The sequence below is a fragment of the Homo sapiens genome, chromosome 7 (assembly GCF_000001405.40).
Source record: "Homo sapiens chromosome 7, GRCh38.p14 Primary Assembly".
Lineage (NCBI taxonomy): Eukaryota > Metazoa > Chordata > Mammalia > Primates > Hominidae > Homo > Homo sapiens.
The window spans coordinates 40,533,954-40,560,455 of record NC_000007.14 but is presented as its reverse complement, the minus strand read 5'-3'; the positions used below and the strand labels follow the sequence as shown (position 1 = coordinate 40,560,455).

Below are 26,502 nucleotides of genomic sequence, written 5' to 3'. Positions count from 1 at the left end.
AAAAAGCAAGTAACAATGAGAAACTAGTTTTACATCTCTGTGCTGCCTTTTGTCCCATGGGCATTCTTTCCTCTGTCTCTCTGCCCATTGGACATTTTATTTTCTACAAGGCCCTCCACCCAAAAAGTAGAGGGAAAACATGTATGCATGTGTACATGATGTGCACATGTATATATATATGTGCATGCATGCATGCACATGTGTGTGTATCACTTTCCAAATGCTCAGATTTTCAACCAGTGGGCACTAACTAAACACTCATGTGATAAACCTAGCTGTATGCTTAGGGCCACTCATTTCTTGTCATAGTTAACTCCACGCATAGGAAGTGGGGAGATGTGTTATATTTACACTCTTCAAGAACAGAACCACTAGTAACAAGATATTTTAAATAGGATAATTCATAGCAAACTACCCTTTTGCCTAAGAACCATTGATCCACAACAGAAGACCTGATCCGAATCCAAAATAGAAAAGGTTAAAATATATCATTGCCTATCCAGATACCAAAACTTTTGCATTAGTTTAACATATTGCATTACCTCTTTACGCACTGTCTTATTCCAGAACAGACTTAAAGTGGTTTTGTTTGAAATAACTGTGACAGTGGTGAAAGTTTCAAAAGTTCTTGTTAAATGGAATTTGGCCTTTTGTTGCTATTGCATTTTCTTTGATGAAATTTCATATAAATGACATATACTTAAATAGGTCAGTTCTCCATCCCACACATCCACAGTACTGGGCTTCCCAGATGAAAACCAAAAAGTTTTTAAGATAGTAATGTATAAGTATAGCAAACAAAGATGAAAAAGTGTGTCAGAGTAAATGTTACAGAGATTAGTCAAACTTATCAACTGATTCCTTGAGGGACACTATCTCATAAACAAATACACATTCTCACCCCCTTTCTTCTTCATTTCATTTCACCATTTATGATAAAAATGAGGGAAATGTGAGGCTATGGGACAGGTAGGACAATTGTAACCACTGGGTGACTTTATCACATTTCATATACTGTGATATCCAGGGCTGTCGCCTATAGATACAAACAGCACGACAAATAAGACATACAACATTGGAAGTTTTAAAACATTATTTATTGCTAAGTCTAAAACACTCAAACACCACAGCGCAGTGATTGCCAAAGCTAAATTGGAGTTTGTGGGCTTTTAAAAAGTTTCTCTTCAGGGGAACATTTCAGCCCTGTGGAGAGGTGTGACATGTAAGGAGATGGAGCATCTGGCTGGAGACCAATTTGCCTATAAGCCCAAACCAAGTGGACCCATGTGGAGAGCTTTTATAAAATCATAAGCAGTAAAGCTGAAGAAAACTCTAGGTTCAGACTGCTTTATGGTATCAATAATTAAACTGGACTCACTGCACTCACAGGATTATTGCAAATTCTGAGTAAACCTAAAGAATTTTGAAATAATCTAATTATGCCTTTGTTTATTCATATTTACATACAGCATTTTTTTTCTCTGTTCTTAACTGGATGTTTAAAAAATTCACAGCTATCCAAGCATATTGTTTAAATGCTTATAGACAATTCACAGGAATTTCCCTCATGAGAGAGAAAAGCAGCATTAGTGATGCATATATCCAGGTCCCAGAGGCAGAGCAAGAATAACAAAATGCAAGACTAGAATTAATGTTTTTTAAAACTGTGGTAAAGTATACATAACATAAAATCTGCCACTTTTAACATGTTAAAGTATACAATTCAATTGCACTAAGTACATTCTCAATGTTGTGCAGTTATCACCACTACGTCCTGAACTTCTACTCATCCCTAACAGAAACTCTTTACTCATGAAACAATAACTCCTCACTCTGCTCCCCACCCCACCAACCGAAGCCTGGTAACATCTAGTTTATTTCTAATCTCCATGAATTTGCCCATTCTATGAACCTCACGTATGTGGAATCCTAATGATATCTGTCCTTTGTCCCTACTTATTTTACTTAGCATAATGTTTCAAAGTTCATCCATACACTGCAAAATATATCAGAATTCCATTCCTTTTTTATAACTAATATTCCATTGTATACTATGTTTTGTTTATCCAATCATCCATTGACAGACACTTCAGTTGTTTTCACCTTTTGGCTATTGTGACTAACGTTGCTATGATCACTGGTATACAAGTATCTGAGTCCCTGCTGTCAATTCTTCTGGGAGTAATTCCCAGGAGTGGAATTAATAGATCTTACAATAATTTTATGTTTAACTTCTGGAGAAACTACTAAGCTGTTTTTCACAGAGGCTGCACCATTTTACATTCCTACACTGCACAAGAGTTCCAATTTCTCCATACCCACATCAAAACTTTTTATTTTCTGGTTTTTTTTTTTTTGTATGGAATAGCCATCCCAATGAGTGTGAAGTAGTATTTCATTGTGCTTTAACTTGCATTTCCTTAATGACTAATAATGTGGAGCATCTTTTCATCTGCTTATTGATCTGTTTTCATCTGTTTATCTTCTTTGGAAAAATGTCTATCCAGGACCTTTCACCATTTTTTAACTGGGTTATTTGTTTGTTGTTGACCAATAAAGGTTCTTTAAATATTCTGATTCTTAATCCCTTATCAGATGTGTAATTTACAAATATTTTCTCCCATTCTGTGGGTTGTCCTTTTGCAAGATAGTGTCTTTTTTCTTTTTTCTTTTTTTTTTTTTTTAGACAGAGTCTCACTCTGTCACCTAGACTAGAGTGCAGTGGCACAATCTCAGCTCACTGCAACCTCCGCCTCCTGGGTGCAAGTGATTCTTTTGCCTCAGACTCCTGAGTAGCTGGGACTACAGGCACATGCCACCATGCCCAGCTAATTTTTGTATTTTTAGTAGAAATGGGGTTTCACTACGTTGGCCAGGGTGGTCTCGAACTCCTGACTTCAGGTGATCCGCCCACCTCGGCATACCAAAGTGCTGGGATTACAGGCATGAGCCACCACGCCTGGCCTCGATAGTGTCTTGTGATGTACAAAAGTTTTTAATTTTGATGAAGCCCATTTTGTCTATTTTTTATTTTGTTGCCTGTGCTTTTGGGGTCATATCCAAGAAATCATTGCCAAATCCACTGTCGTGAAGATTTCCCCCTGTATTTTCTTCTGAGACTTTTATACCTTTATCTCAAGATAGGATACAATTTCATGCTTTTGCATGTGGAGATCCAGTTTTCTTGGCACTTTTGGGAAAAAGAGTTTCCTTTCCTCATTGAATAGTCTTGGCACCTAGCTTAAAATTCAGCTTACCCCACATGTGTGGTGGGTTTATTTCCAGGCTCTCAATTCTATTACATTAGTCTATATATGCTTGTCCGTCTGTCAGATCATACTGTTCTGATTCCTATAGCTTTGAAGTAAATTTTGCAATTTGGAAGTGTGAGTCTTCCACCTTTGTTCTTTTACAAGATTGTTTTGGTTATTTGAGGTCACTTCAAGATGGGTTTTTTATTTCTGTAAAAAACACTAGTGGGATTTTGATAGAGGTTGCATTAAATCTGGAGATCGCCTTGAGTAGTAGAATCATCTGACTAATACAGCCTTCCAATCCATAATCACAAGATGTCTTTCCATTTACTTATGTGTATTTTAATGTCATTCAACGCAATTTTTAAAGCTTATTCTTACAAACACTTAATCACCACTTATTATGTGCCAGAAACTGTTCCACGTGCTTTAAAATTATTAATTTATTTAATCCTCATAACCCCATATAAAGTACTATTTTAGCTTCAGTATATGAATAAAAAAGCTGAAGCACAAAAAGGTTAGATAATTTGTTCAAAGTCACATGGCCACTAAGTGGTAGAACTGGGATTTAAACCCAGGCAGTCTGGCTACAGAGTCCACGCTCCTATTATGCTACACTCCTTTTCAAGCATTCATTCATTCTACAAATATTCACACAACACCTGCTAGTTCTCCTGAAGCAAGCCATGAGACAAGAGTTTGTGTGCAGGTGATTCATTAGTGAAGTGCTCCCAGGAGAAATCAGTCAAAGGAATAAGGAAAGCAGGACTGAGAAGGGGAAGAATCCAAACAAGGGTTTGAAGGGCCTGCCTCAGCCTAATCCTGCGGAGCTGTAGTGTGTCCACCTCAAGGCAAGAAGCAGGGCCTTCATACTGCTGCACCACTCTGCAGCATAACACTGCTGTGGAGATAAACTTCTAGACAATCCCAGCTTTCCATATGTCTGAGTGAAGTGCCTCCAGTAATTCAAGTTCAGTCCTCTGGAGAAAGTTACAAGTTCAAGTTGTTAGGAACAAAGCGTGCTGAAGGTGGAGGATAGACTTAACAGAGGTCAAAAAGTGGACTCAAGGGATCTGGGCACAGGGCAAACAATATGTATTGCATCTAAGGCACTGTACCAAGCATTAGAAGAAGCAAGATGAATGAGACCAATACACTCCCCTTCAAAGAGATTATGTGTTGGCAGAAAGACAGGCATACTTTATGTAGGGTACATGGTGATAAATATTATAAGAGGGGCAAACACATTGCTAAGAAGTTAGAGAGAAGAGTAACAGCAAATGTTTTATCCCCTGGTTAAAGGAGTCACAAAAACATCATTAAAGATGTAGCATTTGATCTAGGTGTTGTAAATGGAAAGACTTGGGGAAAGCCTACAAGACCATTCAAACATGAGCAGCCACACCGAGATATGAAGGTATTGAGCACTTTCATAATCATACCACTCAGCAATATTGTACTTCCTTACAATATTGTTAGAATACTGGAATATTGGAATTTGTCATGAGTTCCCCAAAAAGTATTAGAAATACACACTGTCAGGCTCCACACAAGACCTACTGAATCAGACACTCAGAAGTGGGGTCCAGCAGGCTACGTGTAAACCAGCTCCGCAGGAGACTGTGATGCCTGCTTAAGTTGGAGAGATACTGTTCTATCACACCCAGGATCATGGGCCTGTGAAAGCTCAACCAAGCGCTAGACATCAGGCCACCTGGGACCCACCAGCCCAGCATCACACTCATACACACTCCTGGTCTGGAATGAATAACACCCAGGACTGAAAAGGGAGTTTAGACTAGATGAAGGGACAGTCATCCAAAGAGCAGCCTTTTGTGAAGAACAAGCTTGAGGCTCAGAATTCCATGAGGCCTAATCAGTGAGAAAAAAAAAAAAAGACAAAGAGGAAGGGTTTCATTGATCAGAGAGTGCATCCTGGACCATCGAGAGCTGACCATCCTCCCATCCATTTCCTGGAAGTTCTCAGAGTTCTTGATCTTCCATTTCCTTTGGGAACTGGTCCAGCTCTGGGGGCTCATAAATACCCACACTGCCTCATAAAATGACTGGTCAAAAGAGGATGAGGGCAGGCCGTACTACTTTGAGATCATATGTCAAATACTATATAGAACACCAGATATTTACTACAGAAAAAACTGTTGAGCAGTGACCATTAATATATTAAAGTATAGTTTATGAAGGAATAGCAGTTTCATGGGCCAGGATATGCAGAAGGAATAGCAGTTTCATGGGCCAGGATATGCAGAATGGTGACATGAATGTATGATGATGGGGACAGGCATTAAGGTCAGGATGAGGAACCATTAGGCAGAGGAGTGAAATAAACAGAAGTCATGCTTTAGGTAAATGATTGTCAAGTTTTGCAAAATGGATTAGAAAGGAGAGATGCTGGAAGAGGAAAAATCTGTTAGGCTCAAAAGTACAACTGTTGATAGGAGGAAAATATATGAGAAACTGACATATATGACATAAATTAAGAATATGACAAACACAAGTCTAAGGGAAGTCAAGGGAACATTTTTATGCAGACTGTAGATATCAATAAATACAACACACCTCTTCTGTAAAAGTCAGCTTTTTAGCTGAAACACCAAAGTCATTCTTACCCTCAAGACATTGGTCATTAAAATTACCCACACAATAAAACATAGTACAGAGAAGCTACAACTACACTATGCTGTTTAACTCTCACATTTACCATGGAAGTGTTCTAAAACATGAACAAGCTAAATGATTCCAGTTGTCTTTAAGACAAATGCATGCAATCACACTTTTAGCTTAAACCTACAAAAAGATTCATTCCCTAACAAGTTGGCAGGTTATGAATGAACAAAATGACAATCTACATGCCACTAAACTCTCCAGATCTGTTGTTACATTTAGGGAAACCATCCACCATCAGAGTTAGGCATTATCTTATTATCAGCTCATCAAAAAAAGTTATCATCTGCGCAGATTTACAATTTAACATTAATATCAAGTATTTATTGAGTGCTCATAATGTGTCGGGCACTATGCCACTTACATGCCTTACAACATTTATTGCTGAGCACAAAGAATTAAATGCATTGCCTAAGTTACACAGCTTTTAAGTAGAAAAGCCAGGATTCAAATCCAGATCTGCAGACCCCAGAGTCAGAGTTCAATGCACTAAGCAACTTTTCTTCACACATTAGCCTTTTTAATTTAATCCTCCTAACAGTCCTTGTTTGAGATAGTCATTGTTATCACCATTTTACAGGTGAGGAACATGAAACACGAAGAAGTTAGGTGCCAGGTTAGCCCACTGGGAAGATCTGATCTGAGTTGTCTAAGTTCCCAGGGCAGGGCTGCCCCACTATCTGATATAGGGGATACTCGCATTGGAGGCATCCTCAATATTTCCAAAACACATCAATAGTTTCTGAGAAAGAAAACAGAACATTTGAAACATAGCCCAGCTTGTGCACATGCACACACACACTCACACACACACACACATAATGTGGCAGCTTAGTAAACGAGGTAGATGGTGTGGAAAGTGTCTACATTTTTAGCTTTTTACTATCAGTTAATGATTATCAGTCTACGTGTAGAGGGTGGACATATATCGATATAGATAAATACATAAATATCTATATTTAGAAAGAAATCACATGGATTAGCTGTGATTTCTGTAAATCCATGGAGAAATTCTCATATATTATTATAAAAAATAAAAAAATTATCTCGATAGAGAAAACATGCAAGTGCAATGGCATTGATCAAGGGTTACATCATTCGCGGTCAATTTTCCATGTCTATTCTGTATGATACAACTCTTAAAGACAACATCAATCCAGAGATCATATACATTTTCCTAACTAAAGACCCTTTGCACTATCTGAATGTTATTTTCTGAAAGAATAACCCTTAGTTAATTCCTAGGAGTTCCCTAATTTGCACCCATACCTCAAATTCAACTCATTCTTTCTTTAATGCATCAGTTTTCATTTTGAAGAGAGAACGTATACAGCATGACAAAAGTAAACTCAGAAACACTGCAAGGTATTTTGTTTTTGAATGGGGAACACAAGTCCAAAAGTAATTATTACCTGCCCAAATATTTCCACAAACTATTGTTACCATTTTGAACACTTTTTATCAGTATTATTTTAATTCTGCAAGTAAATATCTTCTGCTCAACAGACATGCAAAGATCATTCACTCCCATTCTTTAGGAGAATGGCCAGAAGCATCTCAAACTCTGAATAGGGAACGAAAGATGCAAGCTCAGCCAGGTACAAGGTCTGCAATCACAGCCACAGCTTCATATAAACAGAAATCAGGATTTCTCCAATCCTGTGATTATGTCAGGAAATCTCAAATCCCTGAACCAATTGATTAATACAACGATGATGGGTTCAGGAAACAAAGCTGGGTGGTGGGGGTGGGGATGGGGGGCTGGAAGGGGCTGGGCAAGAAAGGCTACACTTAAAACATAATTTGCCCTTTTCCTTCCATGCCTATGGGGAAAGTGTGATGGAAGATGTCACCCAGATTGCAGCCTATGTGTTTGGGCAAAGTTCTAGGTTATCATTTATGTATCCTACTTGCACTTTGATCTTTGTCATGCTGACAAAGGAAATGAGTGGAACAAGCCAGGCAAACCCCCAACGCATGGTAATCATGACAGATGAGTGGGGGAGTTGAGCCATTCCAGCTGTCCTCGCAGGCCATCACCAGGCCCTGGGTGATCTATTAGTAGGGTGAGCCCAGGTGCAGGGACTCCGCTCCAGGCTCAGAGAGTGCAGCCCCAGCCATTAACTGATGTAAGCCATGGAGTAACTTATGAAAAAAGCATGCAACAGGAACAGCAGTCAGGAAATGGTTACAAATTAGAAACAGAGGTATGGAGGGCAGAGGGGCCTCTCATGCCACAGTAATAAAAGCAACTTCCTCTTTTTCCTAATTTCAGAACCACAGAGTAGAATTCTCTCCATATGAAATTCCTCACAAGTCGCAGGCTGCACTAAACCACCGCCTGTCCCTTTCAATGTATCACAGTGTACTCACATGGAAACAGATGTTGCCGCCTTCCTGTCACACTGTTAAGGGAAAGTGTGCTGTGACGTGGGGAATGGTGACCTATGAACTCTCAAGACAATTCTCTAGCACCTCATAGATGCTTTTGTTTTCTAGAAAATCGGGATCCTTAAAGTTTGATAAAGCATTCCAAGATGGTGTAGCTCAAGTTTGATGAGTCTGATAGGCTCTGTTATTGAGCTGAAGGGAGCCTCTCACAGCTTGCAAGTCAAGTACAATGCTGACCTGTGAAAGCTCCTTGATTTCACTCTGACTGTCTTCCTCAGGCTGGCTGACTCAGCACCCTTGCCTCAGACCAGCTTCCTGTACTGGTCAGAATAATTCACCCTCTTATCTGTGTCTTCAAGATTATTTTTACATGGCTGTATTGTGACACTTATCCTACCACATTGTAATCAGTCATCATGTTTATGTTTGTCTCTCCAACTGAACGGTCTCTTCTTGTGGACAGGATGTATGCCTTCTACTGCCTTCCATCCATAGGAGTGATCACTTATGGTGCCCATGGGTGTATGTGGAGTGAATGATGGATACACTTCAGCCTGAACTGTCAATGTTTATTATGACCGAGCACAACATATATATTTATTTCTCTTTCTGTCTGTTTTAGATTGTATACTTCCCTGTGATTTAACTAAGCCATTTCTCTGTTTACAAACTTTGAAAGACAGCTTAAAGATGTTTTAAAGTTATATGTGAGTATAGGTTGAGTATGTTTACAGAGGATAGTATTCCTGGTAGCATTCAGCCTGGAAGTCAATTCTCTCCCTCAAAAGACACATAATATCCCTAAGGAAAATAAATAGAACGTTATATTCAGCAGAAACGTACTTAAACCTCTTATTCCAGAAATCAACTTTTCAATGCAAAGGCCAAAACCGTCACTAAGGATCACCAAAGGGTGGAGTGGGAACTAAGAGAACAAGAAGTTTGTAATCCATAAAATCACAAGTGTTCCAAGAGGAGGATGTCCTAGGAGAACCTGCTGGGCAAAGAGCATGCCCACTTGAATACAGAGGGCCTGAGAAAAGAGCTCAGTGAGGGCCTCCGAGCAACAAGGCATTGCAGAGACATGGCACACTGCTGCCTGAGGGAAGGCAGGGAGAAGGCTGCCACAGGCACCTGACAAGACAAGAGAAAAGAGAAGAAAACAGGTAAAATGGGTAAAACAGAAGGCAAGAATAAGGGAAAGTGCTGCAGTAAGATTTTGTAGCCAGAAGAGGAGAGCTGTAGTACTATAGTAAATGGATCCTGAAGAACAAAGATGAAATGTATGTGAACTCTGAAAAACATCTAGAGCCCCTTGCGACACCTCAAAAGACACAATGAGAGTAAAATGGAAAAAGAACAGAACAATGGCTATTCTGGCTAGGAAGAACCTGCTAAGTGAATTGAAACTGGTGGACAAAGGGAAGTATATTCATATTTGATTTAACTGTTCAAATAATTATTTAGTACCTTTAGTTAATGCTTTTGCCATAGCATATGATTACATGGTTCTGAAATAAATGCTTTTGGTTATAAGTCTCAGAATAAGAGCCCTGAAAGGATATTGTATGTATAACAAATGCTTCAATGTGTGGTTGCTCTCCTCTACCCAAGCAGGCATAAACAGTTCTTGATGGAATCTGCCTCTACTCCTGCTTTCTCATACAAGAAGAGAAAAGGTACAATAGAGCAGAATTGGTGTCAGAAAGCAAACGCAACTTCATGAAAGACTAGGTATTCCAGGGAAGAACAATTCTGGATTGTTAGCTAGCAGGAATACTTAGTAACACTAGCAACACTGAACACAATACAAATAGTCCTTCCCTATACGAAGAGATACAACCAATAGCAGAGGAGAAGGCATTCATATCCCATAAAAGGAAGAGGACCAGAGTCACAGACAAGACCAAAGAGGATTTAAATTTGATTAAATTTCTTAATCGGGTAGTAGAGCCACCAGCATAGATAACAATTTATGACTGTTTAGAGTCTCTTCATCAGGTGGTAGAGCCACCAGCATAGACAGCAACTGATGATTGTTGATATCCTAAACCACTGATTGTAAAGTCTCCCAACCCTTCTCTCAGCTTCCAGTGTCTAGCCCTTGCAATCTATCTTTTGTGACAAGATCAAAGTAATCATCCTGAAATAAACCCAAACATGCTATCTCCTCCTTACAATCCTCTCCTAGTTGCATTCCACTGCCTATGAAATGAATTCTCAATTGTTCTAGGACAGCACTGTATATTCCTCAGAATCTGACCCCGAGCTACCCTGCCAGTTTTATCTTCCACTGTCCACTCCCCTCATCTTTTTCTTCTGCTACACAAGACTCTTCAACAACTCAGAAACATTTATGTATATTCAAATGTCTATACTGCCTCCTCATGCTATTTCCACACTTATAACCTGCTTTCCACAACTCACACACCTAAATCATATTTATCATTCAAGGCCCTCCTCAAATGTCTTTTTCTCAATGAATCTTTCCTTGGGCCAATCAATCATAATAACTGTTCTTGCCCTTATGTTCCGACCACATTATGCTAATGTCTGACTGCATCACCACTGAAAACTGACATACTAGAGAGTTGTGTGTGTCCAATGTTCACACTAGATAATAAATTCCTAAGGCAGAGGTACACTGTCTTTTCCATCTTTGGTTTCCTCCTAGACAATTTCAGCCAAATGCTTGCATTTCTTTAAGGCTACCTCTAATTTGACATTCAACTAAATTCAGTCATTATTCCAGGATTTATTGTTTATTCCTAGTCATTACAAAAGAGTTTTATTTTTAATATTTTCTATTCATAATTCATTAGCTAAGTCTACAGAAAGTGTATTATCAGACCTAATAACACATAAAAGTCTCCCTTGAAAGAGACAGAATTTTATATTGAGCAGAAACATAATGAAGCCTCTTATACCAGAAATCAGCTTTTCAATGCAAAGGCCAAAACCCTCACTAAGAATTTAACCAAAGAATAGGGTGGGAAATAGGAGAACAAGAAGGTTGTAATCCATACATTCACAAGTGTTCCAAGAGGGCCATCAGAAGGAGATCCAAGGAGAAACTGTTGGGCAAAGAGTATGCCCACTTGAATATAGAGGCCCCAAGGAAAGAGCTCAGTGAGGGCCTCCGGGTAACAAGGTGGTTATTAGGCAATACACTCAAGTCAATTATTGCATGTTTACTTAAAAACTCAATACAAAAATATAAAATATGATACTTCCCTTCAATAAATAGATAAGAAGACATGGATTGGGTGTCCGAAGATAGGAAAGGATGAATAGGAAGAGCCAGCGGGTTTTTAGGGGAATGAAACTATTTTGTATGATAATACACTGATGGATATGATACATGTCATTATACACTGTTTTAAATCCATAGCATGTACAACACAAAGAGTGAGTTCTAATGTAAACAATGGAGTTTGGGATGATAAGGATGGGTCAATGTAGGTTCACTGATTATTGCAAATGTACAACTCTGGGGGTGGGGGAATGCTGATGACGGGACACTATGGATATGTGGGCACGTGGTATATATGAGAAATTCTGTATCTGCTGCTCAATTTTTCTGTGAACCTAAAACTTTTCTAAAAAATAGTCTACTAAAAAAAGAAAAAGTTGGGTGCCATAGTTCATGCATGAAATCCCAGCAATTAAAAAGGCTGAGGCAGGAGGGTTGCTTGAAGACAGGAGGTCAAGATGCACTTAAGCAACAAAGCAAGACCTGTCTTACAAAAACCGTTAAAAATTTTAAAAAATTAGCAGTGTGCCATGGGGTGTGCCTGTAGTTCCAGCTATTCAGACAGTTTAGCGGGGAGGAGCATTTGAGCCCATGAGTTCGAAGCTGCAGTGAGCTATGATTGTACCACTACACTCCAGCCTGGACAATAAAATGAGACCTAATCACAAAAAAAAAAAAAAAAAAAAGAAAGAAAGAAAAGAAGAAAGAAGTTTATAGCTTATTTGGAGGATTAAAATTAAAACACACAAAAAGTAAAGAATGCGAAACAGTATAAAACTGAGGTCACTAAATGAAATACTTGTGTTAAAAAGTTGTAGAAAATATATCTAAGATTATAAGGCTAAAAGGAGACAAAATAGTTAAGAGTTGACATGATAAGGAAAATAAAAATCCCACTTGTAAGAATTTGTTTTAAAAGAGTAAACAGACATGTGCAAAGCTCTATGTATGAAGCTGTATCTCAGCATAAATTACAAACAATCTTGATATTCAACACTGGATTAGTTAAATAAATTATAAAATATCCATAAAGCAAATACACCAAAATGATTAAAAATAATCCTTTCATAGGTATATGTATGTGAATGAAAAATGATAATATATCAGAGTATTATTTCTAATATTTTATAAAACTACACATACACAAAATTTTAAAAAGCTATAAAGAGAAGTAACCTCTGATCCTTGAATTAAGGAAAACATTTATTTCCTTCTTTTGTTTATCTCTATTATCTGCATTTTTATAGTATGCATTTACTTTTTGTAATTCAAATAAGAGCTGAAAGATAATCTTAGTATCTCAGAACAATCTGGAACTCAATGTTGGCATTCCCTCCTTTTCTCTCTGAATCCAAAATTAGATATAATAAGATTAAGTCCATAAAAAAGTTTTGAAATAAATAAAACACTCTACTTAAAGTAATAATAATAAAAAAGACATAGCCATTATAAGTTTTTAAGGAAGGTATGATGGTTATTTTATGCATAAACTTGACAGGGCCACAGGGTGCCCAGACATTTGGTCAACCATTATTCCAAGTGTGCCTGTGAGTTTGTTGTTGGAAGAGATTAACTTGTGAATCAGCAAACTAAGTACAGTAGCTCTCAACCAATCAACCGAAGACATGAATGGGGACAAAAAGGCTACGAGGGAACTTTGCTTGCCTCGCTGTTTGAGTTGGGACATTGGTCTTCTCTGATCCTCAAAGTGGAACCACATCACCAGCTTTCCTGGCTTTCCTGCTTGTCAACTGCAGATCTTGGGACTGATCACATGATTCAATTACTCATAAGTCACATGCATATGACTAGTCTCTTCTGTAGTTGTCAGGGTTCTCCAGAGAAACAGAAACAGAAGCAATAGGAGATATATCTCTTATTACATTAAGTCTCCTATTGCTTCTGTTTCTCTGGAGAACTCTAATACATAAAAGATTATGATTAGAATTATGCTTGAAGAAGGTTAATCTTATAATGGCATGCAGAGCGGAGCTGGGCAAGGCCAGAGGCTAAATATGGAGCCAGAAAGATACTGCAGAAAGTGAGCAAAAAGGATGAGTGGATGGCCTGGGGTGGAATCCGTGAAAAAGGGCAGATTGTCAGTCTCAGGAAATCAACAGGACTGAGTTCTAACTTCAGCTGGGCTACTATGCCCTGGGGTAAGTCACTGCCCTCGCCTAAGCCTCTGATTCTTCATCTATAATGTGAATTTGATAGATCATAAATCTTCCAGGGTCCTTTTCTATTCTATGAGTCTAAGAGTCTGTTGTCAATAGGAAAAAATATTTAGAGGCTTTTATTCAAACTGTGAATACATTGGCTTAATTTTGTTGTCTTACACTGAATATTCCATCAGTGCTCAATAAATAATACATTAAGCCAGCTCTTTTGGACTTCAGGCTTTAATTTTAATGCCCTGACTTTTGGCAAACTCTTTACAATATCAATTACTTTATTAACTTTGCAAACATATAATGAAAAAATGGGCACATTACTTTGAAATAGGCCTGTCTTAATCTAATTACCTTTCTTAAGGAAAAAAGCCAATTTATGAGTATAATTATTTCATATCAAATAATTTATTGATAATGAAACATTAAATAACCACAGCACTTGATGTAATTTGAGGACAGCGCACAGGAGTTAAAGTGAGGTTCCAGTATTCCAAAGAGCCATGCCAGTGTGATACGTGTGAATTCTTTTCCCATTGGTCTGCTACATGTAATGATGTCCTGTGTCTAAGTCTGAGCTAGGGCAGGAGGAAAGAGTGTTGTTAAATTTATTCCAAATAGAAATCCCATGTCAAAGGTGAAAGACATTTGAGTGCTGGGCTTGAAGATTAACTTCCTGGATGTTGAACTTCATGTGATCCATATGATGTATGATTCTGATTTTATAGATACACATGACTGAGCCTATCTGATCAAATTAAGGCAATCTTACAAACAAATCAGTAGGCCACAGATGCAATAAGCCCACAGAGAGTGCATTGTTTGAATCACATTCATTAATGCCATCTTCATCCCCATCACACAGTTCTCTGGGTATTTCCAAAGTCAAATGTTTAAAAGAACACACCCATGATTCTTCTGTGGCAAGCATACTTTGTTATTCTCTATATAACTGTAAAAATCAAACAGAAAAAGAAAGGAAGAAAAAAGGATGGTACACCAAATCTCTTTTCAGCCTGTTATCTGATCTCTTAGAACCTGGACACACAAACCAACTCTTACTTTCATAAAATTATTCTCCTTCCTTTGTCTTGGTTTCTTTTTACAATGAAAACTGGATCTAACAGCGTTAATGTCCGGAAGCTTTCAGGTAAGGCCATATTTTACATCATATTTTATTGGTCTTGGCAGTAAACTTGGAATTAGCCATTAAGTCAGGATTTCTCATCTCGTCAACTCCAGGAAAAATGCAATAGACAAAGGAGAAACAGCCAGAGACCTTGACCAACAGAACTATATTAAACCAGTAAAACAAAAAGTATTCCATGTGTGCTCCAGTAAGAAAGAAGAAAGGAAGGCTCAACATTTCTATCATGAGGACTTCTTCCAGCAGAGAGGCTCCACAGGAGACCTTTCATTGACCTTCACTGAGAAATACCGAATATGTCATGACTTTCTTCAACTCCACCTCTTCAGTCCATGCTATCAGTTGAGGTTTATGAGAGCTGAGCTATCATTTCTAAAGACAGAGGAATTTGTTCCAAAAATATCTGGCTTTCCACCCCCACCTTCATTTATAAAACAAACCATCTAAGTCTTTCAGGCTATTTTTCCACCAGCTTGTTTATAATGTGGTAATGATTATGCTAATACCAGTTGGGAATACATTCTATGTGGACATGTTGTGGGAATGTGATTGGAGTGTGTGGGGGAGAGGAGAGGGCTGTATAAGTGCATGAGGAGAGCTATTCTATAAAATTATAGTACATGCCCTCTTTCCATATTTACTAGTTTTTGTAAGCTCCTTCTCAAATGGGAAATAGACCATGCTTCCTTTCCAGAAGGATAGTTATTGAATAACGAACACCATGTGTTCTGCTATGTCTTATTTGTCTGAGCACTCTGCAGCTATTTTCTAAACCAAATTAATAACAGTATACTAAACTGATTTCCCTAGTGAAAACTGCTGGCTACTACCAATGTCAGTATGTACACCCCACTGCTCCCCAAAGCTTAGGTAATCACTGCATAACCAAAGTCTACAACAGCCCCAGAGTGGGGGCAAGGCAGCTTTCATGGTACACAAGGGAAAATTGACAGCCTCTAATTAAATGAGACTGTTTACACAAGCGATAGAGTATTACAACACTTTCCCTACAAAAAGAAGAGAATGTGAAATTTCAGAAAAGACAGATTTAATGTGGAACTTGTCACCACCGTCAGCTTCGGCATGATAAAATGCACATGGAAAGTCCCTTGCAGCAAGCCCGCTGCAAAGAAGATTCTTCCTTCGTCTGGGTCAGAGGGTGTGGATGTCTCTAAAGAAAATGCTACCTCTCCTTTGCTCACACACCCACTTGCGGCACAGTGAGCTTTCCACAGCATATATGGGATCTGTGGGCTGAATGCTGGAGACACAGGGGCCAGAGCCTGGCAGTGAAGACTCCTGGGTTATGGAGGAAAAAGGAAGTATCTCCTTTCTACAAATTAAGAAAATGCACATCCACATGACAGCTTAACACAGGACACCGGGTGTGTACAGAAACTGCCCTAAAAAAAAAAAAAAAAACCTCCCACCTTCACCCAAGCCAAGTAAGTTGTAAGCAAAGACAACACAATTCTGGTAGTCAACTGATCTCAAAAGGGATCTCTAATTTTTAATATTACATTACTCCAAACTAGAGTGCCTCCTTACCAAGTATGATTTTTGTCACATCAATATATGGGCATTTTTGTGAAGCCATACCTGAAAACAGGCTTCTGTTTTCTCAGCTAAACTCTCAATAAATGTTGGCAGTGATGGAAGTTTGGAATACTTTCATATTTCAAATGTGGTGCTTTTGTTCCCAACTAAATATATAGGCACATATACTTATTATTAAAACACACTCTACAAACTCCCTACTGGGGGAATTTTAGTTCCATTTGAACATCACAACTAAAACATTCTATTCATTCCACAGCATGTTCACTCTCTCCAAGTAAGAATTCTTTCTGGTGTTTTCTGACATAAACCTAAAAGTTCATTATAATTTGCACATGAAAAATCCTTTTAACAGTTAGAATCAAAAGTAGCATGAGTTAATGGTCCAGTCCACCAGATAAACTTTTGCAGGTTTCCATCTGAAAGTCATAATATAACCTTTTATCCTGTGTGTCATTGGTACAGAAGGTTTTGCAAGGCAGGGTTCTTCAAACTGCAAGATGTTAAACAGATGTACGGCAGAGTCTTCCAATCCTAAACTATGAAGAGCCTGTTTTCAGTCTGTGTGTTGCAGCCTTCATTTTTTAAATTATTTTATCAAGATCTTCAGGTTTGCACATTTCATTTGTGAAAATTTTGTACTTGTTATCATTTTTTGAGCTGCATATATTTTAGAGAACTAGATTTTAAAACATACTGTTTTTGAACTAAATAAAGAATATTAATTTAAATGTTAACATGTAAAATCATATTTTCAGCAGGATGATCTCTGCTTCCTACAGCAGGTGCTGGAAGCCCAATCCCAGATGTTTTGAAGTGTAAATAGCAAGGGAGGAATTTGAGAAATGGGTAGAGATGCCAGAAAAAGGAAGGCATAAATTAAAAACAGACGTATTGAAACATTAGTTCACATGGACATTTTGGCTTTTGTTGTTCACTGGTGGGCTTCTATACTTAGCTATTTCTCGTGTCACAAATGTCACTTTCTAAGACACAGCCATAGCAATTGGCCTAAATGTTCACCTAGCCGATGAAGCAAATTCTATTCCTACATTGACCAGAAAGACATGTCTGACATTCCTTTTCAGAATGCTTGAGACTCATAATCCTACCTTATAGATATGGCCATTTCCCCCATGTTTAACTACATAGAAGCTCGGAGTTTAACTATATCGAATCAGTGTCATAAACAGGGTTCCCTAAAGCTTGAGCCTCAGTCTTTGCAGTCGAAAGGCCCATTCTGCCCCTTTTGTTCTTACCCATTTGTTACTTGAAGGGATTTCAGAATACATAGCTCTAACAGAGTTAAAAGGGTGCTTATAAATGTTTTCTCCTTATTTAGCTTGATGTTGGCACAGCCACTCCATCATTTCAATGAGACACACATGAGCAAAAAGGCCTTTATTATATAGGCAGGCCTTTATAATATGGGCAGCTTCCTTCTCAAATATCCTTTTTTGCTATCAAACTAATCAGTACTATGGGATAATTAAATCCATACCTAGTGTAAGGCTGAGTTTTCACTACTTTAACCACATCATCGCCAAGACCCTCTGCATCTACATTGACAGGGATACAGAGAACAGCCCTGTTTTTCAAAAGTGTGAGGTATCCCTGGAGAAAGGGAGTAGAGCTATACCCGGCTGTTCCTCATGACTCTAGGATTTGCAGGACCTGTGGCTGAAAAGTTATTTACCTCTTTGAGACATGGTTTACTCATCTGTGAGGTGGATGATGATGATGATGATGATGACGATGGTTATGATTACATTGTCTATGTCATATGGCCTTTGTGAGGATGAATTAGATACTATGCATAAAGTATTCAGGCCAATGCCTGACACATAGTGCTAAATAACTGTTCATTATCTTTACTTTGCTTCACACATACCCTCTGCTCCAACCAAAGTGAACTCCTCTCTTTTAAATGATCCTTGCCCCTTGCCACTGTATTGCCAAGCACTTGCTGGTCCTGACCCTCCTCCCTGGTGGAAGGCTTTCTTCATATATTCCACTATCTCCTACCTGTGACAGCTCCCTGTCCTCCCCAGTATCTGTTTAAAATTTTACCCATTCTTCAAGATACACCTCAAATGCCACCCGCTCCATGAAATATATCCTAAACTCTTCAAGTTGTGACTTCTCTGAATCTCCAGGATTTTGTTTTTTCTAGTTTACAGGTGTGAATTTAGCATACTCCTTATTTAATGGAACATTATAATTATTGGTTCATGAATAGTCCCTCTGTTATATTTACATTCCTTTGTAATCCCAATCCAATCTCTAGACTCTTCTTCCCACAGGAAACTACTCTAATATATTTCATGTAACTTTTGAAAAATATGTACTGTATTATACATTCATTCTCATTTATATTACTGGATTCTGTGATAGAGCTCTTGCTCCTTTCTTGATTGCACCATGCTGGTTTTTACAATCCTTCCAAGTTTCCACAGGAATTTCTAATTATTGCATAATGCTTACTGCCCACACTTTTGACAATCAACTACTGCTCACCAGAAATGAATATGTTCATATCTGACCAATATAGACCTGTTTGAGGATTTTCTTAATCTATATGTCAAAGAGAAGAATTGCAGGGTCACAGGAATAGGTAATCTTATTGCCTAAGTAATGACAAACCGTTCTCTAGAATGTCTGCGCCATTATGCAATATCAACAGCAGTCCATGTTGGCCCCCACATCTCTACATTTCTGCCATTACTTGGCTCTCTCTGGTTTTCTAACTCTTGCCACTTTATTTATTGTCACTTTAGTGACATCTTATTATTGCTTTCATTTGTATCTCTCTCCTTACTAATGCATTTAATCTTCATGGGTCTATTTTTCTTGGCCATTTAGCTTATAGAGCCTGGAGGGCATTTTTAAATTAAAATGCTTATCTTTCCTCTTCACCCACTGCCAAATTATCAATTCCTTTAAGGTATAGGGTATTTTTCCTTCATTTTTGCACTCACTGTAACACCTACCATGGCACCTGAAACAACAAATAAAACATAAACACAAAAATAACGGAAGGAATGGAAGTATAAGTGGATGAGAACAGTTACATATTGCTCTTACTGCTCTCTTCTTGCCAAACCCATGACTTCCCTTGGCCAGCTGAACTGAAAATAGCAGCATCCATTTAATATCTCAAATACCATAAAGGAGGGAAGGAAGAAGGTGTTAATGCACAGAATTCTAAAGTTCTACTGCGACATACACAATCAGTCTCCTCGGTCCCATGTGCAGGGACACTCACTTCATTATTCACTTTTATGGACCAAATGGAAGTCAGCCTGGCAGTTCTGCCTTGGCAACTTCCAAAGCTCTGCTTTTCAATACAGGTATACAGCCTGGTGTAAGAAAACTGCCCTGTTTGCCAACATTAATATACCCCAGAGAGTAAGTAGGCATTTACCTAGCAGCCAGTGCAGGAAGCTGTATTTTCTGTAACTTTCCTGGTAAGGACAGAGTGACAATGGTCTTACACCTAATTAACTCTACCATCATGGCAACTTCCTTGATGTGTATCATAAAAGCTGTCCAGCCACATGGCATGGTAACTAGAAATAAGGGTTTTGGACTTGGGCAGACCTGTTTAGAATTTTGGCTCTGCAATATACCAGCTGTTACTATTTTGTTTCTCATCTGCAAAATGTGGACAATGGTCCTTACCTTACAGAGCTATTGTAATAAATAAATGAAATGATAAAGTACTTGGTAAATGATAGTTATTTTATTATTCCCATTATTCTCCACCCTATTCCATATTATCAAGATTACAGCAATAAATAAAAGGATGCTGCTAATATATAAAATAAGTATTGAAAAGACATGCCTATACTTATGATAAATGAGTAAGTGGAAGATTTTCCTTGCAAAATTGAACTGTAGTTTCTGTAGTGACAAAAACATTTTAAACATTTGGTTCTATGTTTTAGTCCCAACTATACCACTTATTTCTGTGTGAGTTCAAGCAAGTCTCTTGACCTCAAACCAGTAGGAAAACCAGTATATAGGGATAATGTTATCTACTCCCCAGATATACTATAAAAATTTGATGTGATTATAAATGTGAATGCACTTCAAGACCTGGAAAATAGCAGAAACATGTTAAATATCACTGATATCCATAGTTTGATAGCACCTTGGTTACTACTGGTATTTAGTTAGTATTGGAAACAATAACATATTCTTAACATAATTCCAAATGTCAAACGCATTTTTCTAGGGATAAAATGATGTTGGCAAAATTTTTTACTTTGTACAATATCATTAAGAGATTTCCACCTTTTATTCAATATTCTAGGAATCAGAAGATTCTCCCTAACATTGGAGTCCAAAGAAGAGGAGCCACCATCTCCTTAACTACAAAACAACTGAGAGAAGAAATGTCTCCCTTTAGTGCCAGTGAAGAGTTTTGCTTCTCTAGAACAACTGTTTATTTTTGATCTTATGAAACGCGTGACACTTGTAACTGATTTGCCTTCTTTTTGCTTGCTGCTAGAAATCTCAGAACCAAATTCGAGGTCATTTCTGAATGTGCTGGACTACACAGCATGAATTCTGTGTCCTCTCACCTCATTCATAGATACATTTTTTTATTCCTACCCATCTTTTCCTTTCCCCAGATTTTCCTATTGCTCTTTTATCATCTTGAGTAAAGAAGGTTAAACTATGAATAAAAAGTACAATCTCAATGACGAGTCAGGGAAAAGTAAGTTTTGGACTTCCATTTAGAGCCATTTATAGGTCAGCAATCTTTTGTCTCTGTGTCTTCTTTCTGCCCTGAACAACCAAGGCATCCTAGTCAGTCTCTCTTCATCTGCATACCACTTTAAAGAGCCCAGGGGTCTTCCAAGTACAGTCACTACTAAGAAAATGTCTTCAGTAAATTTTTTTTTTTTTTTTTTGAGATGGAGTCTCGCTCTGTCGCCCAGGCTGGAATGTAGTGGCACGATCTCAGCTCACTGCAAGCTCTGCCTCCCGGGTTCACGCCATCCTCCTGCCTCAGCCTCCCAAGTAGCTGAGACTACAGGCACCTGCCACCATGCCCGGCTAATTTTTTTTGTATTTTTAGTAGAGACGGGGTTTCACTGTATTAGCCAGGATGGTCTTAATCTCCTGACCTCATGATCCGCCCGCCTCGGCCTCCCAAAGTGCTGGGATTACAGGCGTGAGCCCCCGCGCCCAGCCTTCAGTAAAATTTTAATGCATGTTGCTTATCATTCTTTGTATTGTAAGCACCAATCCTTAATCTGTGCTGTGGTTTTTGTTCAGAAACATTTCTTTAAAAAAATTTCCCCAGACGCTCAGCCTTCATATTCTAATCTTTATTATTCTGAACTACCTACAAAGCTAAATATACCTTGTCTACATGCAGTGCTTATGTAACAATGGTGCTTATTTTGTTTTACATTGCTTCAACCTCTGACCAGAAACTTAGAGGACAGAATGCCCTGCTTTTACAAAAAATGTGGTGACCACAACGGTAACCTTATCTAATTGAGACCATTTTAGGAAGGAGGGGAGGAGATATTTTTACTGCAAAGACTGAGTCATAAGCCTTCATTTTTTACCCTGGGTTGTGCAGAAACTTTAAACTTTCTATATTATTTCATTTCTTCCATACCAGGACATTTATTTCCTATTCAGTGACAATCTTGATGTCTTCATCCTTCAAACTGCTCTCTAACATAGTTTCAAAATCCAAGCATTAAACATTATTAATGCTCAGGGGATGAATATGTTCATTACCTTTACTGTAGTGATGATTTCCTATGGCAAAATGTTAAATGATGTAAAGATAAAAATAATTATCATAGTTATTAATCATAGCAATAAAACTGGACTACCTAAAGCACAGTTTATGGTATAATATTTATGAATTAAGAGCAACACAAATAATAATGTTAATTGCTCACCTACAGATGAATGCAAATGAGGATATAACAGAGTCGAAATAAACTAAGCAAAGGAAACAATGTTTCATAGCTATCGTGTTCATTATTCTAACCAAAAAAAAGAACACAGAAATCAGATATATGCAATAGGGTACACTGAAATGATTCTCAATGATTATATAAAACATATATACATTATTTTCTCAACTTCCTGAAACATCAATTCTCTTGCTCATAATGTAGTTAAATCGTCTAAGATTAGCCTCATGTGACCATGTTTGGACTTCTTAAAAAAATCGCTTCAGGAACATTACATTTTCATGATCAGATAGTTTCCTGAAAGTATTAAACAAAACTAGGAAAAGTGTTTAATAGTTATTTGGATTACATTTCATTAAAAATCTTTACGATCTCTGTTAACAGTCCAGTACATTTGAATGTTAAGGAGGACCCTGCACTGAAGGTTTTATAATGCTTTATCTATTCCAAGTTATACAACACAAAAATTTTCTCAAACAAGCACATGTGACTTTGCCTACATCTGCATTTAAGATTCTAATGTACATTTTTTTATTCTTTTGTTTAAATTATTAACTATCAACACTAGAATTGAGCATGGTATGTATTCAGAATTATGTTCAAGTAATTAGTGGCTATTTTGTTAATAAAGATGAAGCTTCAATTGTAGATTTGATAATTTTACCCTAAAATTTTTAAATATATAAAAAATAGCATTTTTTAAAACTATAATGGTAAGGCAAAATGTTCTCATCAGATTCGGTGGGCAGATGGGACAGGGAACACAGCTTTCCTGAACCTGGAACTCACAGTTCTGCCACGCAGCTATAGCAAAAGAGCAAGTTTTACTTCTCAAAGGGGAATGCACAGGCTTACAGGTGTACAATATGAAACTGCTGGAGTACAGAGGATGCTCCTTTCTCAAAGTCACAGAAAGATTGAGACATGTTGATATTATTTAAACCCCTAAATATAGCCATTTCTGAAACCAAAAGCGATTTCCAGATTGTTGCAATGGTGTGAATCAACAATTTCAATTATTTTTTCCCTCTTTAATTTACTTTGGATCTTTGTCACTAACAACTGAAACACTCTGCCTAATATTTCGGTGTTCATTATTTTTAGATTTTGTTGTTTAATTTCCTACTGTACTGTTAGATGCCATTCAGTGCATAACTTAGACCTTAAGAATATTCCGCTGTTAACTTGCCTGAAAACAAGATGATTCTGTAGCACATACGAGAGCTTAAGAAGCTCTCCTTCAGGGAAAATGTATCCATTTCTGTCTCCTACCCAAGCTGAGAAAGACTTTCCCCTTCTCAGCTGCCATAGCAGCACTCACAGGGTAACTAGTGATTGATATGTCTGTAAACTCCCAAGGACCAGGACCAGATCTTTCATCTCTGTATTTCCAGAGCCTAGCCAAGTACTTGACATGTAGCAAGAATTCAGGAAATGCTTGTTAAATTATTGGGACTCAACGCCACACAGCTAACTACTTGCCTGGCCCTATGTGGCTATCTCACATCCAATTGTAAACAGCCATTCCAAAACTTTCCATTCTCAAACCCCTTAGGGCAAATTACCTTGCCATCTTTTCTTACAATTCACAAATGATCTTGCCTCCTACTTAATTGACAAAATAAACAAAGCATGAACTCATTCTATTTTCTGTCCCCGTACCTTCAGACACCAGCAATCCCTGCCCCCTTCTCCCTGCCTGTCTCAGAGCATAAGGTATCCCTCTCTCTTACATTCAGAATGTATACCTTCCCATTTACACCAAGTTCAAGATCTTATTCCATTTGTTATCTTCCTTCTTTCTCTAGAAAAATGAAATGTCTTCCTCTCTCAAAAGCAATTCCAACAAAACCAGAAATTGATGTGTGGGGTCTAATTAAACTAAAAAGCTTCTGCACACCAAACTAAAACTAACATCAGTGTAAACAGAACCTACACAATGGAAGAAAATATTTGCAAACCATGCATTCGACAAAGGTCTAATATCCAGAATCTATATGAAATTTTAATAACTCAACAAGCAAAAAACAAATAACCTCATCAAAAAATGGGCAAAAGGTATGAAGAGACACTTCCCCAAAGAAGACATATAAGCGGCCAACAAACATAAGAAAAAAATTCTCCACATCACTAATCATCAGAGAAATGCCAAATCAAAACCACAATGAGATAACATCTCACACTAGTCAACTGCTATTAATAAAAAGTCAAAAGGCCAGATGCAGTGGCTCATATCTGTAATCCCAGCACTTTGGGAGGTCAAGGCGGGTGGATCACCTGAGGTCAGGAGTTCGAGGCCAGCCTGACCAGGACATGGCCTCCTGTTGTATCCATGTTGCTTCAAAGAACATGATTTCATTCTTTCTTATGGCTGCATAGTATTCCATAGTATATATGTACCACACTTTTAGTCCAACCCTGATTGGCATGTAGGTTGATTCAGTGTCTTTGCTATTGTGAAAAGCCCTGCAATGAACATGTAAGTGCATGTGTCTTCTTGGATATACACTCACTAATAGGATTGCTGGGCTGAATGGCAGTTCTGTGTTCTTTCAGGAATCTCCCAACTCCTTTCCACAGTGGCTGAACTAATTTGCATTCCCATATTCTATGTCAATTAATGAAGGAACAGAAAACCAAATACTGCATGTTCTCTTTATATGTGGGAGGTAACAATGTCTATACATGGACATAAAGACAGCAGCAATAGAAACTGGGGACTACCGGGGGTAGGGAGGAAGGGGAACAAGGGTTGACCAACTAACTATTGAGTATCATGCTCAGCACCCGGCTGATGGAATCATTTGTAACCCAAACCTCAGCATCACACAATACACCTGGGTAACAAACCAGCACATGTACCCATGGAATCTAAAAGTTGGAGGAAAAAAAATTAAAAATAAGTGATATTATATATACAAACTTATCTCCAAATTATAAAAATTTTGAGATAGACTATGTTTTATTGCATCTTTATATTTAGATAAATGATAATGAAGATATTATATTTAATTGAATGCAAATTTGTTCTGCCATGAAAATGTAATCTATAGAGAAGAGTCACTCACCAAACACTAAAAACATTAAAAAATCTTATAAATAAATATATTTGAAATCATTTCAGTTTTGGGGAAAATCTCTTTGTGATCACCTGTCACCAATAAGTTATAAACATATGTTAAGACAAATAGAGTAGGCAAAACTTATAGTCGAAAACATTTTATTTCTTGAAAGCATGTTTACCATTATAATGGCATAAGTAATTTTTCAAATTTAACTAAAGGTTATTCGGAAATTACTGGAAATCAGAATGAAAGATAAAGAAATTTTAGGCCGGGCGCAGTGGCTCACACCTGTAATCTCAGCACTTTGGGAGGCCTAGGTGGGTGGATCACCTAAGGTCAGGAGTTCAAGACCAGTCTGGCCAACATGCCGAAACCCCGTCTCTACTAAAAATACAAAAATCAGCTGGGCACGGCGGCACATGCCTGTAAACCCAGCTACTGGGCATGGCAGCACATGCCTGTAGTCCCAGCTACTCGTGAGGCTGAGGAAGAGAATCGCTTGAACCTGGGAGGTGGAGGTTGCGGTGAGCCAAGATCGTGCCACTGCACTAAAGCCTAGGCGACAGAGTGAGACTCCGTCTCAAAAAAAAAAAGAAATTAAGAACTAATTATTTGATTCTTACAAATATGTCCTAATTCAATATGAAATCATTGGCATAATGAAAAGCAAATTCTTACTGAACACTATCAATAAGATCAATGTCCTTAGAATTATTAAATTATATTGGAAGTGACAACTAATAGCACACCACAAAAACAGAATCTGTGGTAAGTTACAGGCAATAGACAAAAACCATCTCAAAGAGAGTTTCTCTAGTTTCATTAGTCTTAAGAGAACATAGTAAGATCATCACAAATAGGTATTGGGGATTTTTTTAAATGGTACCAATTTAAAGTTATTTTCCTAAAAATTTATGCCAATCCTAAGCTTATGCCATTAACACACACAAACACTTAGCTACAAAATTTAAGTATATACTTTCGAATGTCACATATGTCTTTTGGATGTAGCAGTGATAGTTTTCAGAGAA

General features: G+C 37.8%; 1 protein-coding gene and 1 long non-coding RNA gene across 19 annotated transcripts in view, besides 1 other annotated feature; one reads left to right on the top strand and one right to left on the bottom strand.

Moving 5' to 3' along the window:
• Window positions 1-26,502, bottom strand: part of SUGCT (succinyl-CoA:glutarate-CoA transferase) — a 903,812-nt gene that overhangs the window by 478,361 nt on the left and 398,949 nt on the right. The gene's annotated exons all lie outside the window — the stretch shown is intronic.
• Window positions 8,552-8,846: an enhancer, noted in NCBI's record as "tiled region #14136; K562 Activating DNase unmatched - State 9:DNaseU". NCBI's record gives its function as "activates a minimal TATA promoter and a strong SV40 promoter by Sharpr-MPRA in K562 cells {active_cell/tissue: K562}" and the evidence as "EXISTENCE:reporter gene assay evidence [ECO:0000049][PMID:27701403]".
• SUGCT-AS1 (SUGCT antisense RNA 1) lies at window positions 13,437-22,448 on the top strand. Its single transcript, NR_183314.1, has 2 exons — window positions 13,437-13,742; window positions 20,774-22,448. It is a non-coding gene; the product is annotated as an SUGCT antisense RNA 1 (long non-coding RNA).